Source organism: Homo sapiens, chromosome 6, assembly GCF_000001405.40.
Source record: "Homo sapiens chromosome 6, GRCh38.p14 Primary Assembly".
Classification (NCBI taxonomy): Eukaryota; Metazoa; Chordata; class Mammalia; order Primates; family Hominidae; genus Homo; species Homo sapiens.
Window position 1 is genome coordinate 25,527,478 of NC_000006.12, and position 19,973 is coordinate 25,547,450.

At 36.5% G+C, this 19,973-nt stretch overlaps 1 protein-coding gene across 20 annotated transcripts in view, besides 1 other annotated feature; it reads left to right on the top strand.

Annotated features, from left to right (window-relative positions):
* The window catches only part of CARMIL1 (capping protein regulator and myosin 1 linker 1), a 341,157-nt gene that overhangs the window by 248,104 nt on the left and 73,080 nt on the right, over positions 1–19,973 (top strand). For all 20 annotated transcript variants that reach the window (XM_017011008.2, XM_017011009.2, XM_017011015.2 and 17 more), the window contains 3 exons: positions 1,318–1,416; positions 10,378–10,506; positions 12,470–12,601. In XM_017011008.2, the coding sequence (XP_016866497.1) occupies positions 1,318–1,416; positions 10,378–10,506; positions 12,470–12,601 (360 nt within the window). The remainder of the gene's footprint in view (positions 1–1,317; positions 1,417–10,377; positions 10,507–12,469; positions 12,602–19,973) is intronic.
* Positions 5,750–5,950: a silencer, noted in NCBI's record as "peak5739 fragment used in MPRA reporter construct". NCBI's record gives its function as "represses an SCP1 promoter by STARR-seq MPRAs in K562 erythroleukemia cells {active_cell/tissue: K562}" and the evidence as "EXISTENCE:reporter gene assay evidence [ECO:0000049][PMID:32103011]".

Genomic DNA, 19,973 nt, shown 5'->3' on the forward strand with positions numbered 1-19,973 from the left:
TAAGAATTAATAAAGCAAAAGGACCGGAAGCTGGGTGGTGGTGTGTGCCTGTCATATATTTCAAGCAAGAATCTTTTCAGCAAAATATTTTGCATTGATAGTCATGTCACCTTGGAAAGAGATGACTTCTTGGGAAGCAGCAAGAGAAAGTAATGTAATATACTGTCAAGGCATTAATGTGCCACTTTAATGATGTTTCATTTCAGGTATCTTTTCGTTTTTGTAATTTCTTCATTTATGTTTAATGGAAAGGTACATTTTGTTCTGCTTTATATTTTCAAGGGATCGTAATTATAGTCTGTATTTTAATAGTTTCTAATTGATATTAAGTAATAGTCATTTTAGCATATGGAAAATGAAAATTAAAATGTAAAAATACTTAGCGCTTCAGAGTTATTAGTTAGTTCTTAACCAGGGAACTGCTGTGGCAAATTAAAAGCCAAATGGTTAAGTGATGTTATTAAAAACAAACAAAACCAACAAATTTTTAAAAATAGATGACAAAATTTACCAACCTCAGATTATTCCTTTAATAACATCTTTATAGGTATCCATCATTCTTAATAGTTAACCTTGCATTTATGTTAAATATGTATTTATTGCATATTCTTCTTGAATGCTTATTTTAATCTAGTTATCATTTATACCTTTGAATTTTTCATAGTAGATAATCTATGTATAAAAATACAGAAATCTATTTTTTATTTGCTATAATTTTAATAATTCAGTCCTGTTTTTGAGAAAATATGAACATTTGATGGGTTAATGAAATTAGTATATATCTTTGAGTTGTACCAGCCTGTATCCTTCAAATCTTGTTGCGATTCTTTCTCTCTCTTTTTACGTAAAAATAAAGCATTTTCTAAGTGCTGATACATTCTACAGCTGGAATAAGGCTATAAGAGATTTAGAGAGCACCACCCTTATTCCTTGGGGATATTTATTTAACTTCTGAACTGTGGAGTAGTTAAAAATTCATGTGAGAGAAGGATTGAGATTGTGTGCTGAAAGTGATGAAAACTCACGAAGTGGGGTCTCTAACCCTTCAGGCAATTAAAAGCTTGCTTATCTTTTTCAACTACTGAGTTACACAAAAATTACTCCAATTACCTGCAAGTTGAATCTCTAACTAAAAACACCAGTACTCACAATGAAAGCCAGTTTCTCCATCCCATGTGTTTTGTGGGGTCAAAGCACTGGCAGGATGTGTATATTCACGCTTCGGTTTTTAAGTTCGGCAACTGACTGTTTCACTTATACTTTATTCTCCGCTGGGTTGAAATGTATTCTTGAGGGATGCCTGTGCTTTATTTCCAGATAGAAAACTACCTGCTACGAAATCACGAGACTAGAAAATACCTTCAAGAGCAGGCCTACCGCCTGCAGCAGGGTATTGTCACCAGCACCACCCAGCAGGTAAGCGAGCCAGTGCCTGTGACTTCTCCTTCTATTCTTAACTGACCCTCTGAGAGCAAAGGACTTCTAGCATTCGAGTAATTTCCAATGGGTCAATAAGAACTAGTTTTTGAAAATGACAACAAATCTAAGTAGAGTTTGAGGGAAGATACTGAAGGAGGAAAAGGTAGGCTAATTCTAAGGCTAAATATGCACTTTTAATTATCAATCAACAATTGCCAGTAAGATAGGTTTCTATACAAATATTAGGAACTTTTGATTATAATAGATAATAAAATCTGAAAGTGATCAAATTTGCTACTTTGGAGACATTCTGTTCCTTTCTCTTTATTCCTTCACACTTCCATGGGTAGAATACAGATTCCCAGATTTTATGTTCACAATGTCAGGTTCATTAAAAAAAGAAAAAAAATTCCGAGATTCTTTTGAAGAAAAGTTTGATGAATATTAATTAACACATGCTGAAGAGAAACTGAGGTGTTTTTCTCTTATACTGCATTCCTCTTCTCTCTACCCAGCTTTACCAAAGAAACAGAATTATAATAATTTAAAAAAATGTGAAATATTTCTTTTCCAAAAATTAACCAAAACCAAAAATCACAAGATATTTGAGGAAAACAATCTATGTGTCAAAGAGCGAGATGAACAAAGGAATTGAGCTCAGATAATGCAGAGTACAGCAGAGAGCTTTAAAAAAAATTGTTATTGTAAGTTCATTGGGACTGCAGAGAATGATACATCCATAAAATAAGAATAGGCTGCTAGAATGGCGTGAACCCGGGAAGCGGAGCTTGCCGTGAGCCGAGATTGCGCCACTGCAGTCCGCAGTCCGGCCTGGGCGACAGAGCGAGACTCCGTCTCCAAAAAAAAAAAAAAAAAAAAAAAAAAAAAAGAATAGGCTGCTATGAACAGGAGTAGTCAGAGAATAAGAAACAATGCTTAACAATTAAAATTGTGATACTGTAGTACAGAATTAAATAAACTGATGGACACAAACTAAGCTGGTCCTCTGGAAGAAAAAGTAGAGCAAACCTTTATAGCTTATAATAAAAAAAGACATTAAAAATATGAAAGCAAAGTAGGTGAAATGGTGAATTGACTTAGAATAATCAACAGCCTTCTAATGGAGCTTCAAAATTATTATAAAAATGAGAGATATTAGAGGACAGGAAAGAATAGAAAACCATTTCATATGAGTCTCGGGGTTGATATAACCCACTAGAATTGATCAGAATGAGTGGGCAAAAGGACCCACACCTAAATATATCTTGGTGGAATCTCAGAACACCTAGAATACAGAAAAAAAAAAAATCTTAAAGCGTTCCAGAAAGAAAAGAGTTCCAGGCCAGACACTGTGGCTCACGCCTGCAATCTCAACGCTTGGGAGGTCGAGACAGGTGGATCACAGGAGTTTCAGACCAGGCTGGCCAAGGTGGTGAAACCCTGTCTCTACTAAACATACAAAAGAAAAAGTAGCCAGGTGTAGTGGCACAGACCTGTAATCCCAACTACTTGGAAGGCTGAGGCAGGAGAATCGCTTGAACCTGGAAGGTAGAGGTTGCAGTGAGCCAAGATTGTGCGAGACTCTGACTCAAAAAAAAGAGTTCCAGAAAGAGTAAATCGGCTATCTTACAAGGGAACTAAAATCAATTCTTAGCATCAATCCCAATTAGTAGACGTAAACGAGGTAATGTCTTCTTCCTCGTTTGGAAGCGGATTTATTTTGGATCAAAAATTCTATACCTAGACGTTTTCAGACATGAACTCAGAAATTCTATTCCCGTCATATTCCTTATGAAAAAAAAGTTACTTGAATAAATTCTCAAACAGAAAAGTACGCAATATGAGGTATAAATAGGATATGATAGCAGAGATGAAATCGTAGAAGTTATACAAGCTGAGAGAAAGTTTTTAAAAATCGCTGCTTTGGGAAAATCTACTTTAAGCTGCAGGGTTAAGGGATTGGCGTGTCTTTCTCTGGGGCAGCCATAATCACAACTTTATAGCTACATTTTAGAGGGTTTAAATTTTTAATGTTAGACAAGAATGGCAAGCTTAATTATTGCTACATAACAGATTGTAAATGTTGAAAATCGCAATAATGTAAAGGTAACGAAACAAACTAAAATTAGAAGTTTAAGAGGGAGAAAGTTGAATGGTAGTGTAAGTATGCTAAATGTTTAGTTTTTATTTCGTGGAATCAACTGCTATTTTCTGTAATTCGTAAATCAAAAACATAAAAATAAGTATCCTATTTAAATTTAAAATGGAAGCCACCAGAGGAATTAAAGAGGCAGAGGCTTTCAAAAGAATTTTTCTCTGCAAATTGAAAAGAATTGACTAGTAGGGAAATTTTTGTCATTTTAGACCATGTTGAATGGTTTGCATTATTTTCTTACCTTGTTACAAATGTTATTTAATTTTTTGTTGCTTCTTCTTTGAAAGAAAGATGTCCATAATAAAAATGTCATGCATAATATTCCAATTAGGTAAACTATGGGTGACTGTATAGATAGGCATAGAGACATGTAAAAGGGTGTTCATCACAATATTAATGATGGTTATTTTAGGTGGTATGAAAGGTGTATTTTATTCTCTTCTCAGTATGGTTTGAATGTTTTACAGTAAATATGCATTATTTAAGCAAGAAAAAGTAAACCAATATGTGTTGAGAAGAAAAGTTATACTAGTGAAGTAGCAGGACTTTTGAGAAAGAAAGCCATTATTTTGACCTTACCAGTCCCTTAAAAATCTAATTTCTTTTCCTGCAAGGAACTAATACTACTAGCCTAGTATTTTATGGTTTACTATTATTAACAGGTTTTAGTGTTTAACATGAAATGCAATGAAAGTTACACTGAAACTTTGTCTTGTGTTCCTTTATGAGCTACAATAATAAAGACTTCTCACTCTGTCGCCCAGGCTGGAGTGCAGTGGCGCAATCTCGGCTTACTGCAACCTCCGCCTCCCTGGTTCAAGCAATTCTTCTGCTTCAGCTTCCCGAGTAGCTGGAATTATAGTTGCCCATCACCACACCCAGCTAATTTTTGTATCTTTAGTAGAGACAGGGTTTTACCATGTTGCCCAGGCTGGTCTCAAACTCCTCACCTCAAGTGATCCACCCACCTTGGCCTTCCAAAGTGCTGGGATTATAGGTGTGAGCTACCATGCCTGGCCCAAGACTTCTTTTCTTTTCTTTTTTTTTTTTCTTTTCCTTTTTTTTGAGACAGAGTTTCACTCTTGTTGCCCAGGCTGGAGTGCAATGGCGCAACCCTGGCTCACTGCAACCTCTGCCTCCGGGTTCAAGCGATTCTCCTGCCTCAGCCTGTCTTTACTTAATACAACATCTTTCCAACTTTTTCCCCCTAATTCAGAGTGGATTTTGCCCATCCAAAAAAAAAATTACAGCAGCAACCTTTAATGCTTATTCTTAAAAGTACGTTTCATCTATTGAGAGAAAATTGCACACAAGAGCAGTATGTGGATGTTTAATTCTGCATAGATGGCATTATTCTGAATTATCTGAGTTATGTAGTAGGTATATTGCCACGTTTTCACTTTGGGAATTTCTTAGGACATTATAATTAGCAGTTTTTAGACTTTAATCATTTTAGTCACTTCAGGAGAGATTTACCTTGAAGATTGCAGAAACCTGAATATAGAAAGGATAGACCCTCTGTGACTAATGCCCTTGCCAACTTGATAGCCATCATTCTCAGTCATCATTCTCAGGTGACACCAAAGGCATTAAAGAATGTTTTAATGAAATATTGAAGTCTTGTAACTGGTTGTATTTGTTTTTGTCTGGTGACTTTGATTAGGAAATATTTTTATAAGACTCAACATTCTATTTTCGTTTTTGATGCCTTCTTTTCCAGATGATAAAGCCTCTTAATTAGGACTCAGCAAACCTTTTCTGTAAAAAGCCGTATAGTAAATACTTTAGGCTTTGGAGCCCATAGGATCTCTGTTGCAGCTACTCAACTCTGCTGCGATAGAGTGAAAGCCACCATAGACAACATGTAAATGAATGAGTGTTATTACAATAAAACTGTAGTTATAAAAACAGGCCCAGAATTGCCTGCCACTCGCCAAGCTCTTCTCTTTAGCCTTCTCACCAAGAAAGAAAGAAAAAGAGAGAAGGAGGGAAAGAGAGAGAGAAAGAAAGGGTGAGGAGGGGGCTTTACTTCTTAGAGCTATTTGCTCGTTATATTCTCTTTCCTCTTTCATGTGCACATTTTACATTTGCAGTCCTAACTTCTTTGTTAAACACTCACTTTGCAACCTTTTGAAACATGGCCTCTGTCCCTCTTTATCTACTGAAATGGCTCTTTCATTGGTTTCTTTGTCACAATGTGCAGGGGCCTTTTCTCCTTCTTCATCTCTTGATAAAAGGAGGCAGAATATTATGGTTAAGAACTTGGGCTCTCAAGTCAGATGACCCCAGATGTAAATCCAGGCTCTACTATTCCCTGTGTGAACTTATGTTAGTCACTTACTCACCTCTTTAAGCCTCAGTTTTTTCATCTGTTTATTGGGGATGATGATAGTACCCATCTATGAAGGTGATGTAAAGAGTAACTGAGATAATGCTTGAAAAGTATTTGGCTTCTTACCAGTAAACATTAATGGGTTTTTTTTGGCTGTTATTTTTATTATCACAATTACCATCATTATTATGGACCATCTCATCTTTCTTAAAACTCAGTTCTTAGTTCACTGGACAATGCACCATTCTGAATGTCCTTCTGCCACTCTTGTGTCTTACCTTCTGCTTTCTACACAACTCTTTCTCTTTTCATATCCCCAATGCAGGATTTTTTTTCAAAGCTTTGTATTTAGTGTTCTTTTCCTTTGGCTATTTGCTTCTATTTTAACTCTCTCATTTGTAGATGACTCCTGGATCTAACCATTCAGTCCCTGTTTCTTTCCAGAGAGTCCTATCTTCCCAATTATTTTTTTCAGCATCTCCACCACTTTGGCCTTCTGAGATATCAGTCATTAAGACCAAACTCATCCTTTTGAACTCTTGATTTTGCCATTTCACTCAGGGACATCATCATTCACTGAGGGTTGAACCTTTGGAGTCATCTTGAACTCTTCATTTGCTTTCCCCATCCATTACCCACTAAACCCTGTCCAGTGGCTGCAAAAGATACTTCTTTTGTTTTTATTTATACTACGAGCTCTCTTGCTAAGGTCTTTTTACTAACTACCTTCTACGTCTTTTTTTTTTTTTAACAAGAACTACAAGAACTAGTTTTTTCATTTTATGTGTCTCCTCCTGCTTTCCACAGCCCATGTTCTTTGTATCAGGGAAGCTGAGCCACCGTGAATGTTTATGGGGTAAGGGATTTCTAGAGCTCACAATTGTGGGGAGGAGCTGGGGAAATGACGCTCTGTGCCTTGGACACCATGTTCAACCTCTTAGCCTGCACTGGAGTGCTATACTGTCCTGCCTTAACCCATCATTCCAATCTGATCTCCCACTGTAAGGTGCCTCTGTTCCTAACCAGGAGATAGGAGTCATAGTGTCTGGATGTACCACTGCTTGGGTTTGTTCTTTTGTTTAACGATCCCTTCTGTTTTTCTCAATCCGTACAAATCTTTCAGGACTCAGCTAAAAAAAAAAATAAAAGTTATTTTTAACCTCAGCTAGGTGTGATTCCTCCTTTGGATAAAATTTTTTTAAAAGCTTATATCATTCATTTATCATTGAATAAACAGTTGTAGAAGTCTATGATATGGCAGGCACTATCGTAAGAAACAGGGATTCAGCAGTGAAGAAAATAAAATGTTCATGTCCTTGTGGATATTACATTATGTAGCACTTTATGTCCTGTGTTACTGCTAATTGTGAATATTTCTTCCCACTTCCAGGTTTTTAAGTTGCTGGTGGCAAGGGGTAACCTTTTTCAAGACTGTAGCTCCTCTATGCCAGGTGTCCAGTTTATTTCTCTTGAATGGAATAAAGAAACCAATGTGGAAAATGATAAAATTTTCTATGAATAAGCTGTTTGCTGGAAATAAGAACAGTTGTATCAACTTGTGAGCAACCACAGATGGCATTTATTGCTAATAGTTGTAATTCTTACCCGTGGGTTCAATAGCCCAGTATATCTGAAAAAGCCTAGGTAGTCACCAGCAAGTGTGATATGAGTTAGTGGTGTGATGTAGTTGCCAAAGAAGTCAATTTGACTTGTACCGTATTAATGAAGGTATACTTTCTACAGTAAGGAAGACGATAGCTCTGTTCATCTCAGCTCTGTGCTTTCCAGTCCACTCTTAGTTACAATCCATTTCACTAAGGAGACTTCATGAGGTTCTAGGTGGAAGACAGAATGCAGAAGTGACCTACAGGAAAGGAGGTCAAGGACTGGAGAACTGTGTCAGCGTAGGCATGGGAAAAGGAGCTGGGAATGTTAAACCTGAAGAAAAGAAGGCTAAGGAAGAAAAATAAGTGTATTTAAATATGTGCAGGACTGTCACTAGAAGAGAGCATATGATTGTGCAGAGTGTTCTCAAGGGGAAGATATGGGACCTGCAGGAAGGGTGTAAGAAGACAGATTAAGACTCAAAACCTTATCTAGGAATGACAGGGTACATTTTCTTGGAAGGAATTGAGCTTCATAAACTATGGCCGTCAACAACTTTTCTGTATTGCTTTAGAGAAACTGAACACTATAGGGTTAGGGTGAAGTAGAGAGGTTAAACTAAACAGCCCTAACACAACCATCTTCTATGAGGTCTTCTAACGGGGTAACCCAAGAGATTATAGCCTTTCAGATTGCATCTCCTTTATTTTTCGTATTTATGTACTTGAGAGACGAATTATGAACTGATAAACCCCTTGATTTACTTTTTTCAAAATTTTCAATCTGTACTCTGTGTAATCATTGCATGTCATCTTAAATAGTTTACCTTTTCTGAGCTTTGAGCTCTTTCATGGTAAAGGATCTAAATGTGGTCTGCTGAGCTATGCTCAGAGGAATCTTGGAGACATGAGATTTTATGTCTTCTTTGAATTGAAGAACTTAATTTTGATTGTTCTTTTGCATGACATTTTAAATGTTCTACTTAAAGACCATTTTTGTTGAGTTCATGTAAATCCTCTCCCCTTGGTGAATGCTTAAGGGCATACATTTCAAGTGTCTCTTTGTTCTCTCGTGGTGATTAAAGATACCAACTTTATAGTGCCTCATCCACATGCCTCTCAAATTAGCCTTTTGCAGCCCCAAATGTATATCAGTTTCTTTCTTAGTGTGTGGTTTGTCTCTTGAAATTAGGCATTCATTCTTGGTAAGATATGAATTATTAATGACCCTTTTTGCTTCAGGAGGCACAGATCAATACAATAGTTAGAAGAGTTATGATTTCTATCAATTAAGATTTTAAAAAACTTATAGTTAGCTCTATGCAGGGCATTGTGTAAATGCAGAAAGATATGATTCCTGCCTACAATCAGAGGCAGGAATCATAACTTTCTTGTCTTAGATTTTTAGGGATTTTAGGCAGAGAATTTGATGTGAGAAGCAATATTCATACAACTTCTTTTTCCTAGGGGGATCTCAAGATAATAACGTATGTAACCTCAATATATTTTACAGCAATAGGAGCTGTTTTTATTATACATAAACTTTGGCATTACTGGCCCTTTTTCAACAATAGGTGCTTGAGTGCTGTTATTTTATTGAATTGTCTTCATAACACACTAATAAAGAATGTGCGGTAGATATTATGAACCTGACTTTACAAAGAAAAAGGCAAGAGAGATGGCAGTGCTACAGCAAGTAGACATGGGCTCTGTAATCAGACCTGAAGTCTTCGGAATAGTGTGTAAAGTCTCTATCATTTTGAAATTTATGGGGGAAGAAGGGCAGACTTTAGCTTCCTATCGTTATGATATCAAATAATTCAAAATAGAGAAGTGTGAATTTAACTAAAAAAGAATATTGTTTGTCTCCTCTGCCAAATGAATTATCAGATGGAAGAGGACTCTTGACATGTAAGGCCTTTGAAGAATGAATACTTTTTTTAAGAACATGAAATAAATAGACAACCGGCAGCTCTAACGAAAATATTGGAGACACTTTTAAAACCACACTGTGGTTATCTTTTTCTTCAGACTTCTTGGCTTCCTTCATGCTTTTTTGTATAAGTACAAATATAGAAGAGCATAATCTTAACCTTTCTGAAATATTTTTTGTCTACCATAGAGATCCACCATCTCCCATTGGGTTTTGTGTTTATATCCGTAAAACAATTGAGAATGATTTAGGTGCAATTAAACTGGTAGGGGAGGCATCTTATTGTAATAGAAACTAGATGATATTGACTTCATTACTACCTATGTTAATATAATAAAACCTCAATTTGTTTTTGTTTTTTGGTGGCTCTTAATTTACAAAGAAAAATACTTGATGTAATTGAATCGATTTTTAAAATACCAATTTTTAAGAGATGTTCTGGTTTCTATAGTATTGAGACCAACTGGCTGTTGGGCATCATTTTGTAGTCATTACAACAGTCTCAGTGTTGCACATTTTATTTCTCTGTTTCCTCAGTACCTAACTCTATGTCTAACACATAGAGGGTGCTCACTAAAAGTTAATGAAGGAGTTAGTATCTAGCAAAATGTCACTGAGTGAGGTTCTGAATCATCAAGAAGTGTTCACTTTTGTTCTACGTGCTGCATTTCCTAAGGCAGGAAAGGGAACTGAAATGCCTTCAATTTTTTTCTGGCATTAAAGTTGCCAAAGGTTACTTGCATGAATAAAGTAAATTAATAATTGCTTACAAGCAGCATTCTCAGTGACTCCAGTTAGAAGGGTTTGAGGTTTTCATCCTTGTGCATTCTGTGGTTTGCTGAAGTTTTTTTCATACTCCTTCGTTCTGTGTTTCCTTCTATCTGAATATCGGCTGGGCTGACTTGGATGCTTGCCTTTTTCTGGTTTGGAGCAGATGATTGACAGAATATGTGTGAAAGTACAAGATCATCTCAACTCCTTACGAAATTGTGGGGGAGACGCTATCCAGGAAGATTTAAAATCAGCAGAGCGGCTCATGCGTGATGCTAAGAACTCTAAAACGGTGAGTTTCACTTCAGGCTGTGTGAGAGTCTGGTATAATAAAAACGTTTCATAAAATTTAGTTTTAGAAACCAGTTTCAACTTTCTCTCTCTACCCAATTCCAAGTTTACTAACAAGTGGCAAAGTGAACTGAATTAGCCTTGACCTCCTTTCTGTACCTGTGCTGATTACCAATAATCAAGATATAGAATAAAAAGCAGAGGGCCAGTGTGATTCACAGAGGGTGTGATTGGGCCCTCAACAACTGAGAGGGAGCTGTCGTTTAAATGAGTAACAGCTCATTTAAAATGATTCTGCTTCTAAGCTGATAACATGAAACTCCCCTCTGTTACCCCTAAAAGGAAGCTTCTCTCACGTTAGACTTTGGTTCCCAATGTGTGACTTAGTAGAGTAAGGACTTAACTGTGAGTCAGAAAAACTGGGATCTGGTTTTGGTTCTGCTGCTAGAATCACACAATCACTGAATGTCATTAGTATGAGGAATCTGTAGATCAATCAGATACTCTTGTGATACAATAAGAGATGTATATTTGGTCTTTGTTCCCAGTTCCTGATATGGAGCTTCTAAAACCTTGTAATTTCCTGAGTGATAGGGATGATAGAAGCATCTTTTGTTATAGTATTTGGTCTTTGTCCCTGGTTCCTGAACCAGAGCTTCTAAAACCCCTGTAATTTCCTGAGTGACAGAGATGATAATAGCATCTTTTGTTATTAATAAAAAGCCCCTCTCATCACACCAGAGTTTATCCTAATGAGGTGACTCTTCCTGTGCCCCTAGAAAGTTGCAGGATAGGGGAGGTTGCCAGAGGAACCAGCCACGTTATTAGTGAACTGAATCTGTCAGCCCACCCCCTGGACGCCATGGAAATGGAGAGGGGCTGGAGATTGAATGGACACCAGTGGCCACTGATTTAATCAGTCGTGTCTATGTAATGGGTCCTCCATAAAATCTCTAAACAGTAGGCTTCAGAGAACTTTTGGGTTGATGAACTCATCAACGTGCTGGGAGGGCTGTATACCTGCAGAACTCCCCCGAAGCTCCCCTGACCCCTTACTTCACCCTATACATCTTCTGTTTGGCTCCTCCTGAGCTGTATCTTTTATAATAAACCAGTAATCATAAGTAAAATGCTTGGCTGAGTTCTGTAAGTCATTTTAGCAAATTATGGAACCTGAAAAAGGATTTATGGGAACCCCTTGAATTTAAGGCTTATTGGTTAGAAGTACCAGTAACAACCTGGGACCTGTGAGTGCCATCTGAACTGGGGATAGTCTGGTGGGACTGAGTCCTTCACTTTTGGGATCTCAGGCAAACTCTGGGTAGACAGTGTCAGAATTGAATTGAATAGATTTGTAGGACACCCATTTAGTGTATGCAGAGAACTGGAGACTTGCCTGGTGTGGCAAACACCTACACTTTTGGTGACAGAAGTGTTGTGAGTAAAAGCAGCTCAACTTTCATACCCCAGATGAAGACATTAAGACATGAAGGGGAGCTGGGCATGGTGGTATGTGCCTGTAATCCCAGCTTCTCGGGAGACTGAGACAGGAGAATCGCTTGAACCCGGGAGGCGGAGGTTGCAGTGAGCTGAGATCGCGCCATTGCACTCCAGCCTGGGCAACAAGAGCGAAACTCCATCTCAAAAAAAAAAAAAAAAAAAAAAAAAAAGACATGAGGAGGTAATGTATTATTCCTGTGGTTTCAAAGCTGCTTAATGACAGAAGTGGTCAATGTGAAAGTCTCCTAATACCCAGTCTAGTGTTTCTTAGGGTTGCTGTGACTCATTGAATAAAAAGGAATGCCCATAGTCTGGACCTCAGTTTATTAATCTGTGCAAAGAGCCTTTGACTGAGAAGAGATTATCCCTAACAGTATTCCTTCACCCTTCTCATTCACTCTGCAATGACTTTGATTGAAATATTTACCCAATTCTAAAGAGGTTATTTTTTATTTCTCTTACAGTTGTTACCAAATTTATACCATGTTGGTGGTGCATCTTGGGCGGGAGCCAGTGGCTTACTATCCAGTCCAATTCAGGAGACCCTGGAATCAATGGCTGGAGAAGTTACAAGAGTAGTAGATGAACAACTAAAGGTTTGTGGGGTTTGTTATTTGGGAAATGAAATTGTTAATATTTAACTACGCATGATAGCATTTCATTCCATAGCTATCTATGTTTTATAGACTTGTATGTGTGCATGCTGCAAAGATGTAGTAAAAATTGAATACTGTGTCTTTTCCAGCTTCATTATAAGTTTTGGAAAGACTTCTTACATAATCATTTTTGGGTAAACCTCTAAATGTACCTAATAAATTATGGGTTGCCACTGATAAAGGAATGATTGATTTCTATTTAGGGGGTAGAAAGAGAAGTGTGCTTCTGGAAAAAATACCTTCTGTTATTAACATCTGATTTAGAGAATGGGGAAAATGATAGTAACTACATTTACAGTACCTAGATGGTGCTTATGTGGGGAGTCTGCCACTAGGTAAATAGATAATCTTCAAAGGGGCTGGTTGAAAGACTAGGAAAGGTATTTAAATGTAATTACAAGGCACCCAAGGTTGCAGAGACCTGCCTATAGATTCACTGAAAAAAAGGTAAGAAAAGAAACAAAAAGTTATTGAAACTTTTGGGGAATAGAGTAATCTAAGACCAACTTTTGCTTAAAGTAACTTCAAGAAACAGCTACACTAGATAAATTTCACATTCAGAAAGTTTTCATCACTTCCAATCTGCCTATCAAGGTAGCCTTTAAAAACTGTGTCTGAATTTCTATAATTATTTGGCCTGTTTTCTTCTGAGAACACAATTACTACAGCATGTAGGGATTTGAAATGCAACTCATTAATAACTTTGCAGCATGTTAATTACTCTCTTTGAAAATTTAAGTTAATGAAGGAGAAAATGTGGGGTTTTCTTTTTAAGGAGTTTAATCCCCTGTCTTCCTGTGCATATAATACAGAGGGACTCTGTGTATCATTTTTATTTTATTTAATCACGGTTGTTTTGAATCCATCCTGAGCAGAGACAAATGGGCAGAAAAAGGACTGTGGATGGTAGAGTTCTGCTAGACCATTTGTTACCTAATAGCACTTGTTTTATCCTGCATGAAGGATAACATATTTAAAACAAAATTGGCTTTGTTATTTATTTTTAACTGTAGAAAATGACTTACTCTTTGTGAAATGTTTAAACAATACTAACATATAGGGAAAAAAAGAAAGTGAAAATCCCGTGAGATCCCAGAGGTAGTGTCTCTGTTAATATCTTAGTGAATTTCTAGACATTCTGTGCCTATATACACAGTTTTTTATATAAGTGATAATACTATACATACTGATTGGTAACCTTGTTCTATTTGGTACAATGTCATGAATACAATTATAGGTTGATGAATAATCATTTTTAATGGCTATGTGGTATTCCATTGCATAGATGTACCAGCATAATTTATTTTATAATTTCTGATTAGTTAGGGTAAATGTCTATAATTTGACATTGTTATGTCAAATAGTATTAGTCAAATAGTATTATACTTTCATATGGATTCACACACTGCTATTCACTAGTGCGAGCAATTGCTGATTTTGCCACATCTTCAACAATGCTAAGTTGTTCAACCTTTTAATATTTTTCAATGTAATGGGAAAAAAATTTTCATTGTGTCTTTTTGTTTGTTTTTTGAGATGGTGTGTAGCTCTGTCACCCAGGCTGGAGTGCAGTGGCGTGATCTCAGCTCACTGTAACCTCTGCCTCCTGGGTTCAAGCTATTCTCCTGTGTCAGCCTCCCAAGTAGCTGGGACTACAGGTGCCGGCCACCACACCCGGCTAATTTTTGTATTTTTAATCGAGATGGGGTTTCACCATATTGGCCAGGCTGGTCTCAAACTCCTGACGTCAGCTCAAGTGATTTGCTTGCCTTTGCCTCCCAAAGTGCTGGGATTACAGGCATGAGCCACTGCTCCCGGCCTCATTGTGTCTTTTGGATTTCTTCAATAACTCAGTGATGCATCAAATAATTTCATTCCCCCTTTGTATTTCTTCTTCTGTAAATTGTGTATTCATATCCGTTGCCTAATTTGTTTCATTAAAGTATTTGTAAGAACTTATTCCATACTGAAAATTGGCTAGAATTTAAATGGGCATGAAACATTTGTAATAGGACCTTTCCTATCAAACAGCTTCAAACTGTTAATTGTCATTTCAGCTGGTCTAAACGACAAACCACCACTTATACCTTTGGTGTTCGTTTCCTTCTCATTGCATGGAATTGTTGAAATGGATTCTTGCCAGTCTCTTTCTTAGGAAAGGGCAGAAGGAAAATATCCGAAGTATAACAATTTGAATTTTTTAAAGCCTAAAATAATATAAATATATTTAGGATTCAAAATATTTTCTGTAAATAGGCATTTCCTACATTCTTTTGACCTTGATTTCTCTGACCCCTCTTTAAACATCACCAGTGTTCTCCATTCATCATCGCCTCCTTATTTGCAAATATCATAGCATGCTTTTCTCTCATTCTCACTATTTCTAAGGTCCCAGGCCTCCAAATGGCCTTTTCCCCACCTTTTCCTGTTCCCTACTCACTTGTTTTTATTATTCTCAATCCTTCTGAGTTTCAAGTTTCTTTTCCTTTGGGGATGTCTGGAATGAATCAGAGAAAATCCTCAACTAAAACGTCTTAATTAAATGTATTTTAAAATGTTCTTTTAACTGGGTGCACATTTCATTTTTGATACTTATAATGGACTTCCTTATATTTCCTTCCAGTTTACATGACAAGTGGACAACCTTTTACTATTAAAAAAAATACCATTTGTCTATATAAATTTCCAATGCATTGATTTTCTTAAAATTATGTAGGGAAAATGTATTTTTAATATAACCAGTGTTCAGTTTTAAATTAAACTATTGTGGCTGTTACTGAATTCACTACTACTATCAAATTTTCCTAGTTAAAAATTTTCCTTTTTCTGTTTCCCACATTCTCTAAAATTAACATGTTAAACTTGCAAGAGCTAAAGTCGATGGATTATCTTGTTTAAATGTTATTTTGTAAAAATAGTTTTTATTATAGTGAGTGGTAGAATAAGAAAAGGAACCTAGCAGGCCTAGATTTGTGTCCTGGGCTTCCTGCTAAGCAAGTTGCTTAACTTTTTTGGACCACATTTCCTTCTGCAAGATTATCTTGGCCTCATGATAATCAGGGGGATTTATTCCAGCTCTAATATTTGATCATACTGTACCATGGCCAGTCATAGACATTTTGAACATTGAATAAGTTCAAATAGCTCTTTAAGCCATCTTTCCAAAGTATTATTTCAGAAAGCAAAATAAATGGCCAGATAAGCCAGCCTTCTTAGTATACTTCCTGGAGGAGAGAAAAGCAGTAAGTCTGGAGAAATTCCTTCTTTGAAGGGGATGATGTTTTCTCTAAACTGGCCTGTTTTAGATATTTCAGAATGACAACACTCCCCTGTTTTCCCTCTTTTGATCCTAACATTCATTCCTGGAGTAGTAGTAGATGAACAAGGGGGATTTGAATGTTTTAACATAAGGAAACATTCATTTCTCCCTTCTGGACTTAAAGTCTAGGGTATTTGTGTTGGCCTAGGAAATTCTTAATTTCATTCAGGGCTTAAATGGTAAAATACTTGACTGGTAAATTTCAGCTTTACTTATGATATGAGGCCTGAGGGGTTTAGGTGGCATTTTGTCAACTATTAACTCAGTTTGGCCAGAAGAGTTTTCTGAGTTTTCTTCTTTCTAGACTTTATATTTTCCAAAGCAAAAGAAAGGAAGATTTCAGGGCATTTTAGTGTGGAAGTTGTATTTGCTTGTAATGAATTAAAAGTCACTGGCTCACTGCAAGATTGTAAGAGCATAGCTGCCATGTTAAGGATATGAATCCAATTTATTTTACAGATTTTAAACAGGTTTCCTAAGTACCATTAGTTATTTTTACAGGTAAGAAATATAGACCCTCATAACTGTCATTAGAGATACATCAAAACAAAATCGGATTATCATATTTCAAAAACAGGGCCTGTTCATTGCAAGTTGTCTGAAGGTAGTAAAACAGAGACTAACAAAATGAAGACTATATAAGAAAAGTTAGGAAATATGGATAGAATGAGAAATTTAGCATAAACCTAATTTAGATTTTCCCCCAAAAAGAAAACAGAGACTAGGGGAAGGCAACATTTGAAGAGATGACAGCTGAGAATTTCAGAGATGAATTAAAGGCCAGAATCTTCTGATGCAGGAAGCCCAGTGAAATCTAAAGCAGGATAGATAAAAGCAAATTTACATCTAGAATCGTTGTAATAAAAAGTGAAGAGTGCTGAAGATAAAGATCTTGAAAGGAGGCCAGAGTTGGTGGTTGGGGGCAGGCAGGGAGAGGCTCTTTTTTTAAAAAAAGACCGATATTAACACTGACAGCTCACTTCTCAATAGTTAATGGAATCCAAAAGACAATGAAATAATACTTTAAACTTTAGAGAGTACATAACATATCAATCTAGAATTATATACCCAATGGACCTAGTTTTTACAAATGAAGATGAAAGCATTTTCATCACTGCAAAAACTGAGATCATTTACTGTTACTAGACTACACACACACACACACACACACACACACACACACACACACCCCAAACACTAAAGGATATACTTTAGGACAAAGAAAAATTATCCAAAAAATGTAGTCTGAGCTACAAGAAAGACTAATGAGCTGGGAAGGTCCAAATATGAGTAAATAGTAGCATTACATGAAACAATGACATTAATGTCTAACACGCTATAAAATTTTAAAAAGCAAGTACTGAAAGTGAGTGTATAAGTTAGTAGAAAGTTAGTTAAAGCAATCCAAGGTCCTAGTTTTATTCTAGAGAAGTGTTAAGAATTCAGCATTAGACCTGTATTGTCCAATGTGTTACACATTAACCACATGTAGCCATTAAAATTACAATTAAACAAAATTCAAAATTCAGTTTCTCCCTTGCATTATGTACATTTCAAGGGATCAGTAGCCACATGTGGCTAATGCCTCCCTTATTGGACAGCTCAGATATTCCTATCATCTCAAAGTTCTATTGGACTGTGTTGCTTTACACATGAAGTAAAATATGCATGTTAAAATTCCTAGTATAATCACTGAAACAGAGGCACTAAACTAGAAGTTACAGTGCATTTCTAGAAGAGCATTAGGAAATGTTGGGTTATTTTTGGTGTCATAGTGACTGACATGGGCAGGTAACAGTGATCCTAAATATCGTACAAGGTTGAGTTCCAAGCCAGAATTGAATCCCACCCAAATGGCAATAGAAGAGGTATCACCAGAGAGAAACAGGTCCGTGAATAATGACAAATGGTCCAGTTTTCCAGAAATATGTAAGAATTTGAAGTGTGTGAGCATCTAATCATATGGCTTCATATATAAATGAATGAATAAGTGGACAAAATTACAAAGAAAAATGGACAAATTTGCCATTGTGGTAGAGATCTTTTAAAATAACTGTCCATAATTGATAGATCAAGTAAAACAATGATGAAGAAGATTTGAACAACAGAAATCTTAATTGTAATCTAATGCAGCTATTCAATCAGTGCACAACAAAAGGAGAATGTGAAATTTTTTTCAGGTGTCCATGGAATATTTATGAAAAATGCCCATGAAGCCATAAAGGTCATCTGCACAATTTCAGAGACCGTATTTTCTGGTCTCAATTCAAATAAGTTAGAAATTAATAACAAAAGATAACTAAAAAAGAGCCCACATGTTTATAAATTTAAAAATTCTAACTCATGGGTCAAAGAGGAGGACATAATTTAAATCAGAGGATATAAGGAATTAAACAGTAATGTAAATAGTAACATAAGAACCTGTAGGAGACAACTAAACCAGTACTTAGGGTGAAATACATGATTTTAAATACCAATATTGGAAGTGAGGAGAGCCTGAAAACTAATGAGCTGTTAATGGATAACTTAAGTTAGCAGTAAGGGTCATGATGCCAACAACATGCTTTCAGGTGTTTCAGAGAGGGGTGAAACAAATATTGCAAATTATTAGCAACTGGTGAATTTTAAGAGTTAGGTTTATAGATGCTTATTGTCCTATTTTTTCCAATTTTTTGTAGGTCTACTTTTTTTTTAAATAGGGGAAAATATTTCCTTTAAAGTCAGGAATAAGGCAAAGATGTTTATAATCATCACTTCTATTCAGCTTTATACTGAAGGTCTTAGCCAGTGCAATACGATAAACAAAAGAAATGAGAAATGTAAGAATTAAAAACGAAGAAAAATTATCAGAATTTGCAGATTTTATGATGTCCTACCTAGAAAACCCAAAAGAATCTGCAGGTAAGTTATTGAATTTGTGTGATAAGGTTTCTAGAGGTAGAGCAATATGTAAAAAGTTAGGCCAGGCACGGTGGCTCACACCTGTAATCCCAGCACCTTGGGAGGCTGAGGCTGGAAGATCTTTTGAGCCAAGGAGTTTGAGACCAGCCTGGACAACACAGTGAGACCTCATCTCTACAAAAATTTTAAAAATTAGCTGGACATGGTGGCCCATACCTGTAGTCCCAGCAAGGTGGGAGTGAGCTATGATTGCACCACTGCACTCCAGCCTGGGTGGCGGAATGAGATCCCGTCTCAACAACAACAACAACAAAAAAAAAAAAAAAAAAAAAATTGTGTTTCTATATGTCAGCAACAACTAGTTAGAAAATATCATTAAAAATACTCACCATTTAAAATAGTAACAGAGAGCCTGGTATGGTGGCTCACGTTTGTAATCCCAGCACTTTGGGAAGCTGAGGCAGGTGGATCACCTGAGGTCAGGAGTTCGAGACCAGCCTGGCTAACATGGCAAAACCCCATCTCTACTAAAAAAAATACAAAAAAAGTAGCCAGATGTGGTGGCAGGTGCTTGTAATCCCAGCTACTCAGGAGGCTGAGGCAGAAGAACAGCTTGAACCCGGGAGATGGAAGTTGCAGAGAGCCGAGATCACGGCACCACTGCACTCCAGCCTGGGTAACAGAGCGAGACTCCATCTCAGAATATTAATAATAATAATAAAATAGTAACCGAAAAATCTAAAGTACCTAGGAAATAAATCACACAAAAATCTCTAACACCTCAATGGAGAAAGTTTATTGAGAGACTTTAAGGAAATTCTAAAATAAAAATATGTGTCATATTTGTGGGTAGGAAAAGTTATTGTTACAGATGTCAGTTTTTCCTCAAATTTATCTGTTATTTGATAATTCTAATAGACATTCCAATAGGTTTTTAATAGAACTTGACAAAGCTGATTCTAAACATATGGAAAAGCAGTGCTCAAAAATAGCCCAGACACATATAAAGAAGAACAAGAAGGTTGGTAGTCTTGTTCTACTGCATGTTAAGACTTAGGATAATTAGGAAAATATGCAGAGGTAGATGAACCA